An 18,953-nucleotide genomic window follows, 5' to 3' on the forward strand; every position below is an offset into this window, starting at 1 on the left:
CCTTCTTCCCTTACATCTTCCATCTCCTGTCCAGTTAGATTAGAAAAATTAATATTAGTTTTTCTACCAAGAGTTGATGCTGTGGAATGAAATAAGGAATACAGGGTCCCTGCCTTTACTGAGTTTAAAATCTAAATTAGAAAATAATTTATCTCTCCCTGTGTCTATCTATGTATAAACTCATCATGAAATGAAACAAGGTGTGTAACCTGGCATGACTCAAAAGAAAGTTACCCATTTGTTACAATACTGTAGCAAAAGTCAGTTTTACAAATGTCTTTCTTCTTTCATTTATTTATTCTTTCTCTCTCCCTCCCTCCTTCTCTGTCTCTCTTCCTTTCCTCCTCTCTCTCCCTTTTAAAAGAACCATTTTGTAGCATTTGGTCTGTTCTATGCTTTTCCCCTATTTACAGTTTATGATTATGTTTATTTTTCAGTTACACATTGGTATGGAAAAAAACGCATGCATGCTGGGTGGGGACCTCTTTGTCTCTCCTTAGCCTTTTCCTTTTCCCTGTGAAATCAGATATTCACAAGAAAGGGCTAAGATCACAGCACGTGTTAGCAAATGTACTGAGTAGCCTGTAATCTCTCTCTCCTTCTGTGCTTCCATTTCCTGACTATCTAACATATCAGGGAGTGTTTTTCTGCAGTGCTGGCAGGATCAAAAGTCAGGCAAAGACGATTCGGGTTCCATTTCTATTATGATATAATTGTCCTATCTGCATGATAATACACACATATATTCCTGCTAAATTATCTACAGCCTAAGCATTCATTCATGCCCCAGAGAAGATGATGAATGTGCCAGATGCTTCCATTTGTGGTAAGATCACCAGGATGGGTGGAGCAGGGCAGTTTGCCAACTGTTTGGGTGGCTATTTGTCAGGAGAACGAGTCATCTCTGCAGCTCCTGCTGCACCACCCCTGATATTGGTTTTAATGTGCTGCACTGGAAGAAGGCCAGAGTCCCTACACCAAAGGCCAGAGTCCCTGCACCCATTTAATGCAATGGTATATTTCCCATATTACCCTTTTCCTCCCTGCAAGTCCCCGGCTCAGCCATTCTGTGCCTGTTGCGGATGATCTGCGTTTCCCTGAGGCGTGGTCTGAGGCTTTGTTCTGAGAATGGGACTCCCGTTTTATATTTTACATTTGGTCCTTGAAATACAGGGCTTGGGTCAGGACTTAGCTTAGAAACCGTATGATCTAATTTTCTTTATCTTTTTTTTTTGACGGAATCTTGCTTTGTCGCCCATGCTGGAGTGCAGTGGCGCGATCTCGGCTCACTGCAAGCTCCGCCTCCAGAGTTCACGCCATTCTCCTGCCTCAGCCTCCCGAGTAGCTGGGACTACAGGCGCCTGCCACCACACCCGCTAATTTTTTGTATTTTTAGTAGAGACGGGTTTCACCCTGTTAGCCAGGATGGTCTGGATCTCCTGACCCCGTGATCCACCCGCCTCGGCCTCCCAAAGTGCTGGGATTACAGGCGTGAGCCACTGCGCCCAGCCGATCTAATTTTCTTGAAAGTGATATCATTCAACTCTTCCTAAGCTCTTAAAGTCAAGGGACCCTCTAAAAGTATTATTATTATTATTATTATTATTATTATTATTATTATTATTATTATTATTGAGACGGAGTCTCACTCTGTGGCCCAGGCTGGAGCGCAGTGGCGCGATCTCGGCTCACCACAACCTCTGCTTCCTGGGTTCAAGTGATTCTCTTGCCTCAGCCTCCCAAGTAGCTGGGATTACAAGCGTGCACTACTATGCTTGGCTAATTTTTGTATTTTTATTAGAGACGAGGTTTCACTGTGTTGGTCAAATGAAATACTCGAAAAGCTTGTGCCAGCAGACCAGGATTTTTAAATAGGTGCTTGAAGGAGAAGAGAAAGAGAGGAAATGCTCTGCTCCCTCCCAGCACTGGGAGGAGCACAGGGCTGCCCATGAGTGGGCCCGAGGCCATGCCGGAGCCATCTGCGAGGATTTTGGTGGGGGCCCGCTGCTCTGCAAGCCTCGTGATGTGTGAGCTGCTGCGTTGCCATGCACTGGGCAGGAAGGGGGCTCCGGCTCCTCGGGTGGCTTTTGTGTTCTTGAGATAGACTGAGCTGGCTTGACTTGGGATCAGACCTCCCCTGCTGTCCCATTGTCTTAGCAAGTAGTACTGGGGCGGAGGAAGCCGAGGGGAGCGCTGATCTGAAGTTTTAAACAGAGCCCCAGTGCAGGCTTCCCTGGGTCAGGATCCGAGGCAGGCCTGTCTGCGTGCTAGGGCTGTGTGTCTCCGGGGCGCATGAGGCAGCTGATAAAAGAAGCTGTGTGGTATGGGCTGTGGGAAGGAGAGAGCTTTATTTGTTCTGCATTCTGCAGTGTGATTATGTTAACCTGTCTGTGTGACCTTGACACACACAGCGGAATTGCCCGCTTGTGTGATGTGACGAGGGCCAGGTGATTACTTTTATTTGCTAAATTGGGACTGATTTGGACGGGGACACCTGGCTACTTAGAGTGTGTGTTTGTTTATCTGCCAACTTCAGCAATCAATCCAGGGTGGGAGGGCAGGCATGGTGACATTTCAATGTCTTGGTCAGAAGTGTGGAAATTCTAGTTGCAGCTTACATCTATTTTCATGGCCATCTTGATTTGTATTGCTGTTGGGTTTTCTATGAGCCTGGAATGCCTGTAAAGCTAAGATTCAATGTGAAATCTCAGAAGCCTTCATCTAATTCATTCTGAAACGGATTGGATTTTTACTCTAATAATAAATCTAACAAGTTTGGGGGACACTTTTGAGTCCACTAATGTTCCTTCTCTTATTTTTGGGGTGTTAGTCAACAAAATCCACCAGTGTGGAAGCCTCAAGGCTTTCTTCTGTATCTTGAGAGACTCCTTTTGAGTTTGCCTATTAGCTCTCCATGGCTAATGATGTTTCCCTAATCATTTTCAAAGAATTGGATATCATTGCAACAATGAAGTTATATAAATTCATTTTTAAATTAAATTCCAGTGTTTAAAAACTATTACCTTATTATATAATGTTCAATGTTAAAATGGTTAGCTGAAAAGTCAAATTATCCCAGTGAGAGTATATTTATTTGTAGAATTTTCCAAGAACAACATTTGTGAATGTTGAGAAAAAAATAGGTAGAAATAATTTAAGATCAAAAACACGCCAAGACCAAAACATCAAAACGTCTTTCTCTGAAAGACGTTATTGGGGGAAAACTCAAAAACCGTCTGGTTTAGATTATAAAATATAAGAGTAAAAAGAGTAGTGGTGTTTGAGACATCAGCTTTATACTTCTGGAATTTTATAATTGCACTGTCTTTCTTTCTTTAAAAACAAAGCAAAACAAAACCTTTTGTTTTTACTCTTTATGTTTTATTCCCTCTTCAGGGGAGGGGTGGTTTGGTGAGGCTGAAGGGATATGTCACATATGATATTAAGGGAGGCCCGTGTGATTTCTTTCTTTACTTTTCATATCTCAATTCCCTGGCCATTCAATTTAGTTCCGGAGGTGCTGACAGCTGGTAATATGTTAAACTGCAATCCACTTTTTGGAAGTTATTGATATTTCCTAACTGAGGTTTAATGGTGTGAGTTGGCTTAGGTGAAAATGTGCCAAGGTCTTGGGTCTCCTGTGCCTCATTCAGGTTTGTTGGAGTTCCAGGAACATACTGCCAGGAGCTAGAAACCATGTTGCTGCCTGGTCCTCCCAAGTCAAATGAATCTCAATTACCTGTGACTTTCAGCGTGCCCTGCATAGACTAACAGAGGGACCAGACTGTGATGCTTTTTGAGGGCTGTTTATTTGTTTGAGTTACAAAAGCTGATGAAGGTCAGAGATTTAAAACATCTACCTCTTCAAAATTAATAGCTGCTTACATTTTAGAAAGTAGTCCCAATTTATTTTAGCAAAAAGCCATTAGGAAAAAAAAAACACGTCAATAGATCTGGAACTAGACAGCAGTGATGGTTTCACAGTATCGTGAATGTGCTAAATGTTACTAATGGTAAATTTTGTGTAATGTCTATTTCATCACAATAAAAAGAAGTCAGTAGAAAAAGTTTACCTTACCCTAGTGGCTAAGAATATTGATGCTGATTATTATTGAAGCTGTGTTGTTTCTAAAGAGGTGGAGGAAGAAATGAATGGATGCATGGGGGTAATACTTCAAACTCAGAATAATTTATTGTGGGCACTAAATTTTATCTATGGAAAGTAGCAAATATCGTGAATATTCTTCTTAATATAGTATTTTCTATTAACAGTAAGGACTTAACATTTGTGGTGGTCACTATTTGTAACAAAACAAAACAAAAGTGGCTTAAGGTGCATAATTTATAGTAATTAGTCATTTTGGAACGATAAAAAAACACTATATATTACAAGTCTACTTGGTCACCAGTAGCTCCCCTGGTTATGTATTGCCAACATATGTATAATAATATTCATGAGGTGATACAAACTTTGCTTCTTTGGGTAAAACAGTCATCACTTAAAAGATAAAAGTTAAAGAAAGATAGAAAATAATGTAGTTTTCATGTGGAGAGTTGGTAAACACATAGATACTGACAGAATCCCCCTTTAACAATAAAGGGCGATTTTAAAACAACTATGAAAATCTCTGAGTTCTAGCACTTGGGATTCATTTATTTCCTTTGTGAATGTCAAGGATATACTGTAATCTACTTTATTCAATACATCAAAACCATAATGAATGGGCTAAAACCCACGGATTGCCTTCTTAAAATAACTTGCTTTTGGTTAAATTAAAGATATATTTGTTGAGTAACTATTGTTTGCAAAGCATTGTGCTGATTGTTTTGGAAGAATATGGAGATTAGTAGGTACAGACTCTGTCCTTACAGAACTAGAAATATCATAGGTAGAAAAGATAGATGCCCAAAAGACAGCAATCCTTTAATAAAAGATTGATAAATGCTGGAAGTGAAAGTGGCCTGGAAGTTCACAAAGGAGAGAGGAAGTGAGCCAGCAAGAGTTAGCGCTTGGCTGTAAGGATGAGAAAAGATTCATAAAAGAGGTGGTGTTTGAAGAATAGATAAGAATTCAGCAACTGAGAAAGCATTTTGGGTGGCGGAACTGAAATGATAACACAAATGTATGGAATAAGAAATGGCTGAGTGTTCAGAAAATGTCTACAATCTTAGTTTGGTTGGGAGTAGGAGATCAATGAGAATTAAGATTAAAAATTGGTCTTAAGTGTTAGGACTAGGAATGTTGTATTTAATTTGGAAAGAATTGGGAAGACACTGAAGGTTTCTGAGGAGGCACTGAAATGATCCAAGTTGTGCTTTGCTGCTAGGACTGGACTGAGTTGCTTGGGAAGAGATCTGCAGAGAGCTGATAGAGTGCCCTCTGAAGAAGAGAGAGCAGAAGGAATGAGGGCCTGGGCTGGGCTGGTGGCAGTAAGAAAAAGAGGCAGAATGTACATGATTTGGCAATCAATTGGGTGCAACTGGATTAAGAAAGTTCTTGGGAGATGGCAACATAAGTGTGTCCAAGCTTCCCCCAAGCACATACCCCTATCCTGAGCCGAAGCTTGCTGAGGCCAACAAGCATGTTAAGAGCTACAGGGGGTAAGGATGGCCCCACCTCTGACTGATTCAGTTAGGGAGGATTGCTGCAGGATTTTTCTCCTGGGACCCTTATGAGAACCTGGAGTTAGTGAGAAGAGCCTTGGTGAGAAAAATAAAATAAATTGTATCCTGGTCTCCAGAGATGGGCATGTTGGTGATGATGTTATAAACAGAATAAAGAACTTCTGGCTTCCAGTCTGGTGTATAAGAAAATTAGAAGTCATCCCTTCCACAGTCACAGCAAGAAAAAACTTAACAAACTGAAAATCAACAACTCTTTCTAGATCCATGAGAGAGTTGGGTCATAGGACAAACCATTTTTTCCCAAATTAGAGAGACAGACAGGAAGTTACAGAAAATCACAGCTCACTGAAGCAGAAACCCAGGAGCAGAAACCTCTATGAGAACCAGTATTGGGTTCCTTTTACCCAGTACATCCCATTCAGCTTTCAATAAAAAATTACAAGTCATACTAAACGACAAAAGCACAGTTTCAAAAGACAAAGCAAGCATTAGAACCAGACTTATATATGGCAGAGATGTTGGAATTATCACAGTGGAAATTCAAGACAATTAATACGGTAAGGGCTCTAATTGAAAAAGTGAACAACATGCAAGAATGGATGGGTAAGGTAAGCATAGAGATGGAAACTCTAAGAATCAAATGGAAATACTAGCAATAAAAAAAAATTCAACAGAAATAATGTCTTTGATGAGCTTCAATACACTGGACATGGCCAAGGAAAAAAGTCAGTGCGCTTAAAGAAATGTCAATAGAAACTTGCAAAACCATGCAAAGAGAAAAAGATTTAAAAAGGCACAGTATATGTAAGAGTTGTAGGACAATTACAAAAGATGTAATACGTAATGGAAATACTAGAAAGAAAAGAAAAAGAAAAAGGAAGAGAAAAAATATTTGAGGGAATAATGACTGAGAATTTTCTAAAATTAATGATAGATGCCAAATCACAGATCCAGGCAGCTCAGAGAGCATGAATCAGGAAAAATACCAAAACAAAGAAACAAACAAACAAACAAAAACAACAACAACAACAAAAAACTGTGCCTTGGTAGATAATATTTAAACTGCAGAAAATCAAAGACAAACAGAAAAATCTTGAAAGAAGCTGGTGGTAGGAGGGTGGGGAAATACCTTACCTAGAGAAGATAAGAATCACATCATAGTTCTCTTCAGAACCCATGTATGTGAGAGTGGAGTGAAATATTTAAAGTATTGAAAGAAAGGACACACTAACCTAGAATTCTGTGTCTGGAGAGATTGTCCTTCAAAAGGAAGGGATAGGCCAGGTGCAGTTGCTCATGCCTGTAATCCCAGCACTTTGGGAGGCTGAGGTGGGAGGATTGTTTGAGCTCAGGAGTTCAAGAGCAGCCTGGGCAACATGATGAAACCCCATCTCTACAAGAAATTAGTCTGGCATGGTTGCACATGCCTGTAGTCTCAGCTACTAAGGAGGGTGAGATGAGATGCTTGAGCCTCTGGGCGACAGAGAAAGACCCTGTCTTAAACATAAAAAAAAAGAAGAAGAAATAAAGACGTTCTCAGACAAACAAACATTAAGGAGGTTTGTCACCAGTCAACCTATGTTTCAAGAAGTGTGAAAATAAATTCTTCAGAAAGAAGGAAAATGTTGTAAGTAGGAAAACAGAATCTATGTAAAGAAAGGAAGATCATTTGAGAAGGAAAAAATGAAGGGAAAATAAAAGGGAGAGTGTAACACTGGACTCGGTAACTATACGTGCCACTCTCCTCTGCCTCCCAAGGTGCCATGGTGGTCCTGAATAAAGGGGTTCCCACTTTCTCTACTTTTAGGCTGGATGAGTGTGAGAAGGCCAGAGAGCAGAGAGGCATCAACTTGGTGCCTTGCCAGGGACCTAGCAGCCAGTGGGCCGCCTGGGAAAATATGACTGCATCTTCCACCATTCAAGGAGTTCCAGGAGTTGTACCTGAGGGCCAGTGTACAAAGGAGAAGAGCAGCCCAACTGAGGGGGTTTGGGAGCCAGAGGCAGGGAGAACACAAAGACTGAGACCTGGACCCTAATGAAACTGAGCAACGGGAGAAGACAGGCATCAACGTGAACAGAATAGGAGCCTTAGGGAGATTCAAGTGCAGTACCGAAAACATTTTCTGGGATAACAAACCCAGGATGTTATTTAACATTGGAAAATTGGTAGGTAAATTAAAGGAGAAAATGGCCATTACTGAGTAGCAAATAGTGAAAAAAACAGAGTATATAGATCTATGAAACCTGATACATGGATTAAAGAAATTTCAGAAGAAGAAAAAAGATGGAGATGGAGGAAAGAATAATTGAGTACATGGTAGAAGAAAATTTTCCTGCGTTGAAGAAATTTATGAGTCTGGAGTTTGAGAGAATTAAATGAATTCCTGGTGGGATTGATTGGGTGGGGCGAAATAAAGATGTACATTTACTATATTCTGGTAAATTTCCTGACCCCTAATGATAAAAATAACATCTTACAAGTTCCCAGCTGGGAAGAACAAATTACTAAGAAAGGGTCACAATCAGACTAGACTGAATTTTTTAAAATGTATTCCCCTTTATGCTAGAAAATGGGGTAAATAATAACATCCTTAGGCTACTGAGAAGATAGGACTAAGATTGAGAATTCAATACCAGACAAGATAACACTTACCTGGCAGAATAAAAGATATTGGTGAATTTTCAAGGATTGAAGACTATATCGTCCATTAAAATTTGTTCTGGTTTTCCTATTATTTTATCTATTTTAGCACTGAAAATTCTACCTCCTGGAGAACCATTTAGTCACAGGCAAACCTGGACAACTAGACAACTTGTAATATAACCCACCTGAAGAAAACCAACATCAGGTGGAAAAAGAATAGAGACTTTAAGGTGGGGAGTTCTCAACCAGGGGTGATTTTGCCCTCCCCTCCCGTGTTGTCCTCTTTCCCCTTCAGAATTTGGCAATATTTTTGATTGTCACAATTGGAGCAATGGAGGAGAGAGTTCTACTACTAGCTAGTGAGTAGAAGCCAGAGATGCTGCTAAACATCCTGCAAGGCACAGGATAGCTCCTCACAACAAAGATTTATTTTGCCCAAAAGGTCAATCGTGCCAAGGTTGGGAAACTCTGAGATGGGGGAAGACAATGAGAAGTGGAAAGAGCTGTAAGCTACAAACCTTGCATATATATTTAGATATGTGAAATTTAAATGTAAGTGGATAATGAAAGATTGTCTTGGGATGTGTAATGTAAAAACCTGTGAAAGTTTCTTGAAATAGAAGAGACAAGCTGCAGAGAAATCCCAATACTGATCTAAAAGTTTGAAACTGTCTCCCCAAAACCTAGTCATTGGGGGTAGAGATAGAAGAGGCTGATGAAACAGGTGAGGCATTCAAGTATTTTCCAAGTTTTCAGTTTATTGGAATGGGAATGAAACTAGCCAGGTATAAGATGTCTTAGAGTAGAAAGTCATAGATATCTTGTTTTCACATAATAGTACAAAAATTGGTATGTCAATACCAGGAAAATGTTTTGCCAGGAAAGGGAATTAGTGGAATGAAAAAATACATCAGAACTGCTATATTAGCAAAACGTTGAAAGGGATTGAGCAGCAACTTGAAGAAACCTGGGAAAATATGAGAAATGATGCAGGTATTTGGAAGGGAGCAATGTCCTGCCAGTCAGTTTTGCCAACCATGATTCTAAGAGGGTTGAATAATGTCACTGTTTTATTTCTGTATACTATCCGGAGGCTGAAAATCCATAGCCTTGTAATAAATATGTGTGACTTATTTCAAAGTTCTTAATGAAATAGTACAACAACAATTATTACTTTTCCGCTGTCCCAAAACATGTAAGTAGGTCTATGGCATGGCATTATTGGTTAATACTTGTCTCCTTCGCTAGACCCCAATCTTCATGACGGTAGAAATCATGTCTCTTCTCTCTCATCATTGCATCCCCGACAACCTCTCAATGTTTATTAAACAAACAAATCAATAACAGCCTCTCAATCTATGATTAGAAGACTAGATATAAGGAGAAAAAAAGCCCCAAGCAAAAGTTCAGGCAGTTGCACATTTTACTGAGATTTGTGGAAAAGAAACAAAGGAGAATGTAACAATGAAATGCATGACCTGGCGGAGTGCGGTGGCTCATGCCTGTAATCCCAGCACTTTCGGAGGCCGAGGCAGGTGGGTCACTTGAGGTCAGGAATTCGAGACCAGCCTGGCCAAAATGGTGAAACCCCATCCCTACCAAAAAAAAAAAAAAAGGGCACAGTGGCTCACACCTGTAATCCCAGCACTCTTTGGGAGGCCGAGGCGGGCGGATCACGAGGTCAGGAGATTGAGACCATCCTGGCTAACACGGTGAAACCCCACCTCTACTAAAAATACAAAAAAATTAGCCGGGTATGGTGGCGGGCGCGTTGGCGGGCGCCTGTAGTCCCAGCTGCTCGGGAGGCTGATGCAGCAGAATGGCGTGAACCGTGGAGGCGGAGCTTGCAGTGAGCCGAGATCACGCCACTGCACTCCAGCCTGGGCGACAGAGCGAGACTCCCTCTCAAAAAAAAAAAAAAAAAAAAAAAAAAAAAAAAAAAAAAAAAATTAGCTTGTTGTGGTGGTGTGTGACTGTAATCCCAGCTACTCAGGAGGCTGAGGCAGTAGAATTGCTTGAACCCGGGAGGCAGAGGTTGCAGTGAGCCAAGATTTCGCTATTGCACTCCAGCCTGGGAGCCAGAGTGAGACTCTGTCTCAAAAATAAATAAATAAATAAATAAAATGCATGACCTTATGAGTCAGTGAAGTCTGACTTGAAAACCTAGGAGACTCAATTTGCATAACATAAAAGTTGTAAAAGAAACTTCCTCCTTAGACTAAGGTTGCCAGATTTAGCAAATAAAAATACAGGACACCCAGTGACATCTGAATTTCAGTCAAGCAACGAATAGTTTTCTGCACAAACATTTTCCAAATATTGCAAAGAACATACTTATACTAAAGCAATATTCATGGTTTATCTGAAGTTCAAATTAACTGGTTTCTTGTATTTTATGGGGTAACTCTACCCTAGACCATACGTAGTAGCAATATTTTCTGAATAGCTAAAGAAGATTATTCAGGAAATGGGTTACTTTTTTTTTTCAAGTTGGCATTTGAAAAACATTACCCAAATATAACATTTATTAATGTTTTAGTAGCAATCACCTTCTATGAATTCCTGTGACCTTTCAATTATATTTTATTTTCTCTTTAATTCTGTGTTATTTTCTAAGAGACCTTGATCCTGTCTCCTACGGTTATTTTCTGGAACATAATCTCCAAGGTAGTCAAGGAGGAACTATAATCCTAACAGTAAAGGCAAGTTGTATTCGTGTGGTGCTTTCACCCCTGTATCCAGATGATGCTTGCCTCAGTGAAGCAGGTAATATTCTCCCCATTTCATAAATGAGGTCAAAAGTTGTTGCGTACTCATGATAGTTGCTGTGCTGGTATAATGCCATTGAGGAGAAGCAGCATGAGGTACAGGGCTAAACAGGACAGACCTGTCCAATGGCCCTGGGTGCTAACTCCCAGGGTGAGGACCTTCTAGCACATGCAAGCCTGAACTCCATCCTCCAGCTCCGAAATCAAGAAGGAAAGCAGGCTGGGCCAGTGAGCTGTTCTGGACAGGACAAGAGAGAATGAAGTTGGGACAAGGAGACATGAATGTTTCCTGTGGAGCAGATGTGGATTGCACAGGCCAGAGGGCTATGGTCTATCAGTGGTCCAGCAGAATCCCTGTGCAGTGGACCACTGGGAAACTGGGAAGAGGGGGCATTGAGGCAATGGAGGGAAATGCATGGCGTACCACATGGCTGTCACTGTTGAGTTCTTGCAGAGACCCCCAAAGGGATCCTTGAGGGAGTCAGGTCTAGAATTTGCCATGTCCAGTAAGCTCAAAATCAGCTTATGATTTTCTCCATCAAGTGAGGTCATTCTGTTTCTTTCCTCTCCCCCCTCCTCATGCTCCAACTCAGAGGAGGATTTGTTAGGAGCTGCAGGGGTTGGCTGTGGAGGGAAGTGTAGAGAAGAGGAGTAGAACCTAGGTGGCATACTGTGACGTGCCTGGTGGGAGGAAGTGAGGGAAACAGATCTCAACATTGGATGAACGTTGAAGATGCCCTAATTTCTGATTTCAGTCAAATAAGATGACTGTAGGAATATCTACCATGTAGAAATGACCAGCAAAGTCATGGGCCTGCCAGCATTTTAATCCAGGGGTGGGAAGGGAAGTGTTCCCCAATAAACTAATTTTAAAAGGATGGTGGGAGAGTCTTAAAACTTTATCTTGAATGCTGGGTACACTTAAAATATGTAATATACATGTAAATTATTTAATAAACCCCATGAATCCACCATTTGACTGAAGAAATAGAAATGCCTAAAACCCTTAAAGTTCCCTGTGGGCTTCCCCAATCCTATCTTTTGTCCTGCTCCCCGTTAATCAATATCTTGATATTTGGTTTATTTTCATTGCCTTCTGTTGTTCACAATTCTATTATACATATTAGGATTCTACAACATGTTTTGTTTGCTTGACTTGAACTTTATTAAATGACATCAAACTATATGTATGCATTTTTCAATTAATTGTGTGCTTCACTGATTCATCCATATTGAAGCATGCAGATATATTTGTTTGTTATCTACTGCTGTATAGTGCCCCACTGTGTGAATAATGTAGCAATGTAATTGGCCGGGCACGATGGCTCACGCTTGTAATCCCAGTACTTTGGGAGACCGAGGTGGGCAGATCACTTGAGGTCAGGAGTTCGAGACCAGCCTGGCCAACATGGTGAAACCACATCTCTATTTAAAATACAAAAAATTAGCCAGGCATGGTGACGCTCACCTGTAATCCCAGCTACTTGTGAGGCTGAGGCAGGAGAATCACTTGAACCTGGGAGGCGGAGGTTGAAGTGAGCTGAGATCGTGCCACTGCACTCCAGCCAAGGTAACAGAGCGAGACTGTCTCAAAAAAAAAAAAAAAAAAAGGAGCAATGTAATTATCAATTTTCCGTTAATAGATACTTGGATTACTGGCATTTTTCTGTTATATGCCACAGTGCTTTAAACATTTTTAAAAGGGCATGTATGCAAGGGTTTGCTCAGGGTATATTCCTAAGAGTGGGATTGCTGGGTTTAGAGTATCACTTTTTAATTTCTACCAAATCCTTTTCCAAATTAGTTGAATCAAATTCTGCCCCTCCATCCCATTTTAGAAATGTCCATTTTTACACATCCCAGGCATCACTTGATATGGTCAAGCTTTTTTTTTTCTTTTCTTTTCTTTTTCTTTTTTTTTTTGAGATGGAGTCTCGCTCTGTCGCCCAGGCTGGAGTGCAGTGGAGAGATCTCGGCTCACTGCAAGCTCCGCCTCCTGGGTTCACGCCATTCTCCTGCCTCAGCCTCCCAAGTAGCTGGGACTACAGGCGCCTGCCACTACGCCTGGCTAATTTTTTTGTATTTTTGGTAGAGACGGGGTTTCACCATGTTAGCCAGGATGGTCTCAATCTCCTGACCTCGTGATCTGCCCGCCTCGTCCTCCCGAAGTGCTGGATTACAGGTGTGAGCCACCGGGCCCGGCCTAGACTTTTAAAATATTTGCCAATCTAGCAGGTTTAACATGCTATCTCATTGTGGTTTTAACTTGCATTTTTGTAATGGCTAATAACCCTATTTTTCATTGCTCTAAATTAATCAATTTCTATAATTTAACCAAATTGGAATTGCAGAAATCAAATGGAAAGGCAGATAGATGGAACACTCTGTCTCTAATTTATACTGCAAATAACAAATGATTTACCAAAATGTATGACAAATTATTCTAGAACAAAGTCGACTTGATTTTCCAGAAATGGTGCTGTAGGTTCTGGGACATATGTGGTCCCATGATGTGACTCTTCCTGCCAGAGCAGACCTCTGGTACCCTGCTGACCACACATGCTGGAGTCTCTACCTGGTTTATTATTTTTTTCCTATAGCTGGGTCAGTGGATGGGAAGTGAAATGATGGTTTGATTACTGCTTCTTTAGTGTTCAACTTGCCAGCAACGAGAACTCTAACTCAGGAAATAAGGTCCTTGGAGCTATCACTTTCAAAAGAAGTTATGAAGAATCTACCAGGCTGGGCATGGCGGTTCACACCTGTAATCCCAGGGCTTTGGGAGGCTGAGGCAGGAGAAATGCTTGAGGCCAGTGGTATGAGACTAGCCTGGGCAACATAGCAAGACTCTTATCTCTACAAAAAAATAAAAAAGACTAGCTGGGCATGGGGCATGTACCTGCAGTCCTAGCTACTTTGGGAGGCTGAGGCAGGAGGGTTGCTCGAGCCCAGGAATCCAAGGCTCAGGTGAGCTGATTTTGCCACTGCACTCAAGCCTGGGTGACAGAGTGAGACCATGTTTTGTTTTGTTTGTTTATTGTTAAAAAAAATCTCCCAGGAAGCAGGTTCCATGACTTCATTTACCATCTAATGCTAATTTGGTTGCCTATGAAGAAGTTCTCCCTAATACCTCCTGCTGTTATTTGAGCAGCCCCCTCCTTTCTTTGATTATTCTTTAGTAGTCTTCAGCATCCTCTGGGCACCACAGTTTTACTTTTTAGTACTCATTCAACTTTTTCCTGTAAGGAGATATATCACAGTTGAAAGATCTTTCAGATAATATCATGTCCTAGCAGGTAACTTGAGATTTAGAGACCTGACGTACCTTAAACACACATTTAAGAACTTTGAATGATTGTGTTCTGTGTCCACAGTGCTTTATAACACAGTCAAGTCCATCCTTCAGAAGTCACGTGTACTTCCCTTTATTAATTATCCTGTCCACGCTGTCTGTGTCAGGCTGAATAATGGCCCACAGGTTTTTGAGAATGTTACACCAGCAGAAGCACAGCCTGCTTGCACTGAACAGGACAAGAGAGGATAGAAGGAAAGAAGCCTGTTGGACTCCCAAAATTCGATAGGCAGAAAACAGGCTTACAAAATGACTCAGCTGCAAACATGTGCTACCCTTTAAAAAAAAAAGCGTGATTCCAAGGGTGGATCCGTGAGCCAAGAGCCACAGAGAATCATTCCCAGGCCCTGAAATGCAATGGAGTTTGCCTGGTTGCATTTGGAAGTTGGTGGGGACCAGAGACTCCTTTTTTCTTTTCATTTTCACCTGTTTTGAACAGCAATGTCTATAACAATTTTGCTATGCATATCCCACTATTGTGTTTTTGGAGCATAAAACTTGTTTCCTAATTTCACAGGTCTAGAGACAGAGAAGAATTTTCCTCTAGGATGGATTATATGCAGATTCATCTGTACCCGATTTAGATGATAAGATTTGGGACTTTTGAGCTGATGAGAAGACTGAGATTTTGGACTTGAAGCTGTAATGAGTTAAGATGTTGGGGGACCTTGAAATGGGGAATGTGCGTGAATCTTTAAGGATCAGAGGGTAGACTGTGGTAGACTGATTAATGACCCATGCCCCCCCACCAATACATTTGCACCCTAATCCCCAGAACCTGTGCCCGTTACCTCACATGGCAAAAGGGACTTTGCAGACGTGATTAAATTAAGGATCTTGCCATGGGAGATTAGCCTGGGTTATCGAGGTGGGCCTGAGGTAATCACAATGGTCCTTACAGGAGGGATGCAGGAGGAGTGAAGCACAGAGGAGAAGGCCATGCAAAGCAGAGATCTGAGCGATGTGGCCAGGAGCCAAGGCATGTCAGCAGCCTCTAGAAGGCGAAAGAGACAAAGAACAGATTTCCCCCAGGGCCTTCAGAAATAAGCAGTCCTGTGACACCTTGATTTTAGCCATAGAGGACTCATTTTGCTCTTCTGACCTCTAAGACTCTAAGACAACATGTTTTGTTGTTTTAAAACACTAAGTTTGTGGGAATTTGTCATAGCAACAGTAGGAAACGAATACACATTCTCTGTTGGGCCAGGGTCCTGACATGCTCTTTTATATTCAAAAACTTTAGCTAGAGCCATTGTGTGAAAATGAATGAGGGAGCAGATTTCTTTTTCCTAGGTGGACTATTTCATTATAACTGGTGAATCTATTTTTTTCTCAAACAAAATAATATTTTTAAACAAACTACAAAAAAGAACTTGAGTTATCGAAAGCCCTTTATAAAACAAATGTTCTCTAATTTAGCAGATACTACCTGGATTATAATACTTCAGCTTTTACTAAATATCTAAACTAACCCTACTAAATAAAAAACCTCTCTCTGGAAGACTTAAGGCCTTTTTAGGAAAAAAACTAACAATGACACATAAAATTACCTTTGCCAAAATGTCAGAAAGGTCACAGTATTAATATTCTTATAAAATCCTGATAGGAAAATAATGCCATGGTTAAAACTTGTGAGGTGTGTCTTTGATGGGGCTGGTTATTCAGGACAAGTTTGGGCAGACCTGGCAAGACACAAGAAAAATGTGTGAGATTCCAATTTTAGGGAGTTAAGAAATTTTTTGGTCTTCATCCTCATGTTTACTTTCTTCTTTTGATTGATCAGAGATGCCAATGGGTGGCATTTAACTCATTTACACTTAATGTATGGATGTGAATTATTTAATTAGAAAATAATTGTTAATGATTTCCATTTGAAAATTATGTTTAGACATGGTAATATCTATGTTGTGAAGCCAACTAACTTATAAGTTAGCTTTTTTCCCCTTTGCATTTGAACTTTTTCCATTAATTACCAGTTGGTGTTTATGTCCCTGTATCAGTAACAGTGCAGTCAGGAAACCAGGCATGTAGGTTATACATGTGATGGACAACCTGTAGGCAATCAAGGACAGTGGGGAGACTTCTACAGATTGGCAACAGCAGGACTCTGCTTCCACACTCAGTGCTTGAAGCCTCATAGGAAGAGGTGGAGCGTTCATCATCTCCCGCTGCTGTAAAGTCACCATAAACGCAGTGGCTTATAACAACACAAATTTACTGTCTTATAGCTCTGGAGATCAGAAGTCCAAAATGGGTCTCCCTGGGCTAAAATCTAGGTGTTTGCAAAGTTTCCTTCTTCTCTGGAAGCTTTAGGAGATAATCTGTTTTCTTTCCTTTTCCAGCCTTGAGAGGTTGCCTTGGCTCATGGCCCCTTCTCCATTTCCAGGGCCAGGATTCACAGGTTAAATGTGCTTCATATCACATCACTCAGAGACGGATTCTTCTGACTCCTCTTCTACATTTAAAGACCTTTGCGATTACCTGAATAATCCATGATGATGTTTCCTATTTTGACATCAGCCAATGAGTGACCCTAATTCCATCTGCAATCTTAATTCCCCTTTCCCATGTGTCATAACATATTCACAGTTTTCAGGGACTAGGACTTGAACATATTGGGAGGCCATTATTCTGCTTCCCAAGTGGTATCACTGGGATTGGAAACTGGGCCACGGCAGGGATTATGGCCATGGATAGAGCAGTGCAAGGACGAGACACATCCCAGACAACATGGGGGAGGAAAGAAAGAAGCACCTTAGCTCCTCACCGCAAAATGGGAAGGGCTCAGTAGGTAAACTCCTGGTTCTAAAACATCTGACTCCTTTCCTTTTCTTTCTTCTTGTGTATTCTCAAAAGCTTGTTATTAGGTGGTAGGGAATAAATTTTCTTCTGCTTATACCTTACTGTGTATATGACAGCTATATACATCTTTATGATGTATACCAATATAATGGAAAAAGGACTGACTCAATCAAAATAGACATACCAAGCCACACAAAACTGTGTCCCCTATATACCTTGAGTTGTTTGTGTGGGAAAAATCATATGATTAGAGCCATTCTCCTTAAGCACTTTTCATAACAATGGCTAGTGCAACAATTTGTAATGCAGCCTCTATGGCTATAGAATTCTTCCTGGACTCAGGCCAAGTGAGGTGAGTGTGGGGGTCCAAAAACTGTGTGGGTCATTCAGGTTTTTCCCAAATGCTGGAAAAAGATTGCTCATTATAATGTGCTTACAAAAAAACCCCAAAAGTCATTTTCCTGTCATTCTGCAGAAATTTACAGCAAATGGGATTCAGAGGATTACTGCATGAAGGAAATGTCAGTGTTAAATCTATAGACAGTCCCTTTAGTGCTGCATGTCATAAATTAAAAGCAAGCACTAGTGAAAAGGCTTGGTGAAGGGGAAAATAGTGAGGCACTAAGCTGATCTTCGTTGACTTTTCTTTCTGGAACACACATGCTTAGCTGCTTTTTCTTGGACCCCTCCCCCCAGCAAGAAATCACTGCATTTATGTGTGCGTCCAGCTCTCTTCAGCTACCTTAGCTATGCTTTTTCAGCAGCTCGCTGCAATGCCAGCATCAGGTGTCACAACTACTATGGTGACTGGGTTAATGGCTGTGCTGTTTTCCCTGGAGAAGCAGGGACAGACAGGCCAGTCTTTGTCTCTGCCAGCAGAGGTCTGAATTTAAAACTTCATCCCAGACAATGTGCCTGGGAGCCATGGGGTTTTCGGTCATTTGGCCTGGCTTATTCTCTGCCCCATCACCAGCTCCGTGAGCCTCGGGCTCACTGTGCACAGCCAGGCGCTTGTTTGAGGAGAGGAAAATGCATCTCTCTTTTCTTCCCTTTATTCTGAGCCCAAGTTTGATTCAAGTTTTTGAAGTCAGACCTGTGAATGGACTCTCTTCTGCTGGACTCGCCTGTGGCCCCAGCAATTCCTGCTCTGAGATACCAGTGCTTGGGAAGCGGGAGGTGGGTGTGGAAATCATGTTTTCATCTCTCTTATTTCTCTTGCCTGTCCTCCCACCACTATGGTTCTAATGCAAGGACTCGGGGCACTGACGCTGGGGGTGCTCATGTGTACTGTCCTCTGAATGCTGCCTCATTGATGATGATGAAGACCACAGCTAGGAATCCCTGAGCTCTATACAGTTCTGAATGCTTCGTGACATTGTATCAGTTTATCCTTAGAAAAACTCCAAGGCTATTAATATTATCTTCTCCTTTTTATGCATGAGGCAAATTGTGGCTCATGAGGTTGGGTAACTGTTATGTACTGAATTGTGTCTCCCTCACCAAATTCACACGTTGAAGCCCAAACCCCAGTACCTTAGAGTGTGACTGTATTTAAAGACAGTCTTTAAGGAGGTAATCAAGGTAAAAATGAAGTTGTATGAGTGAGCTCTTATCCAACTTGACTGGCGTCCTTGTAGATTAGGACACAGACACACAAACCAAGGGAAGTTCTGCTGAGGGCACAGGAAAAAAACATTCATCTCCAAGCCAAGGAGAGAGGCCTCAGATAAATGAAACCTGCTGACACCTTGATCTTGGACTT

General features: G+C 41.3%; 1 protein-coding gene across 2 annotated transcripts in view, besides 9 other annotated features; it reads left to right on the forward strand.

Annotated features, from left to right (window-relative positions):
- CLVS1 (clavesin 1) overlaps positions 1–18,953 on the forward strand; it is a 536,782-nt gene that overhangs the window by 111,012 nt on the left and 406,817 nt on the right. The gene's annotated exons all lie outside the window — the stretch shown is intronic.
- Positions 722–962: a silencer, noted in NCBI's record as "fragment chr8:61989140-61989380 (GRCh37/hg19 assembly coordinates)". NCBI's record gives its function as "represses an EF-1alpha promoter that drives an FKBP-Casp9 reporter gene in an ReSE screen in phorbol 12-myristate 13-acetate-treated (for megakaryocytic differentiation) K562 erythroleukemia cells {active_cell/tissue: K562(+PMA)}" and the evidence as "EXISTENCE:reporter gene assay evidence [ECO:0000049][PMID:32094911]".
- Positions 1,477–2,151: an enhancer, noted in NCBI's record as "NANOG-H3K27ac-H3K4me1 hESC enhancer chr8:61989895-61990569 (GRCh37/hg19 assembly coordinates)". NCBI's record gives its function as "activates a minimal SCP1, AML or CMV promoter by ChIP-STARR-seq in primed H9 embryonic stem cells {active_cell/tissue: H9 hESC(primed)}" and the evidence as "EXISTENCE:reporter gene assay evidence [ECO:0000049][PMID:30033119]".
- Positions 2,152–2,825: an enhancer, noted in NCBI's record as "NANOG-H3K27ac-H3K4me1 hESC enhancer chr8:61990570-61991243 (GRCh37/hg19 assembly coordinates)". NCBI's record gives its function as "activates a minimal SCP1, AML or CMV promoter by ChIP-STARR-seq in naive H9 embryonic stem cells {active_cell/tissue: H9 hESC(naive)}" and the evidence as "EXISTENCE:reporter gene assay evidence [ECO:0000049][PMID:30033119]".
- Positions 14,172–18,953: part of a meiotic recombination region, noted in NCBI's record as "this region was identified as a recombination hotspot within the HapMap CEU population", that runs on past the window's edge. NCBI's record gives the evidence for it as "EXISTENCE:nucleotide sequencing assay evidence [ECO:0000219][PMID:20981099]".
- Positions 14,483–17,830: a meiotic recombination region, noted in NCBI's record as "this region was identified as a recombination hotspot within the HapMap YRI population". NCBI's record gives the evidence for it as "EXISTENCE:nucleotide sequencing assay evidence [ECO:0000219][PMID:20981099]".
- Positions 14,678–16,112: a meiotic recombination region, noted in NCBI's record as "G1 sub-region meiotic double-strand break mapped by DNA meiotic recombinase 1 chromatin immunoprecipitation followed by single-stranded DNA enrichment and sequencing in the germ cells of some male individuals with the PRDM9 A/A and PRDM9 A/C genotypes". NCBI's record gives the evidence for it as "EXISTENCE:chromatin immunoprecipitation-seq evidence [ECO:0000229][PMID:25395542]".
- Positions 14,712–16,011: a meiotic recombination region, noted in NCBI's record as "hotspot G1 sub-region, crossovers mapped in sperm cells of males of European ancestry". NCBI's record gives the evidence for it as "EXISTENCE:DNA detection assay evidence [ECO:0005519][PMID:18650392]".
- Positions 16,946–18,388: a meiotic recombination region, noted in NCBI's record as "G2 sub-region meiotic double-strand break mapped by DNA meiotic recombinase 1 chromatin immunoprecipitation followed by single-stranded DNA enrichment and sequencing in the germ cells of some male individuals with the PRDM9 A/A, PRDM9 A/B and PRDM9 A/C genotypes". NCBI's record gives the evidence for it as "EXISTENCE:chromatin immunoprecipitation-seq evidence [ECO:0000229][PMID:25395542]".
- Positions 17,051–18,251: a meiotic recombination region, noted in NCBI's record as "hotspot G2 sub-region crossovers mapped in sperm cells of males of European ancestry". NCBI's record gives the evidence for it as "EXISTENCE:DNA detection assay evidence [ECO:0005519][PMID:18650392]".

Source organism: Homo sapiens, chromosome 8 (genome assembly GCF_000001405.40).
Source record: "Homo sapiens chromosome 8, GRCh38.p14 Primary Assembly".
Taxonomy (NCBI): domain Eukaryota; kingdom Metazoa; phylum Chordata; class Mammalia; order Primates; family Hominidae; genus Homo; species Homo sapiens.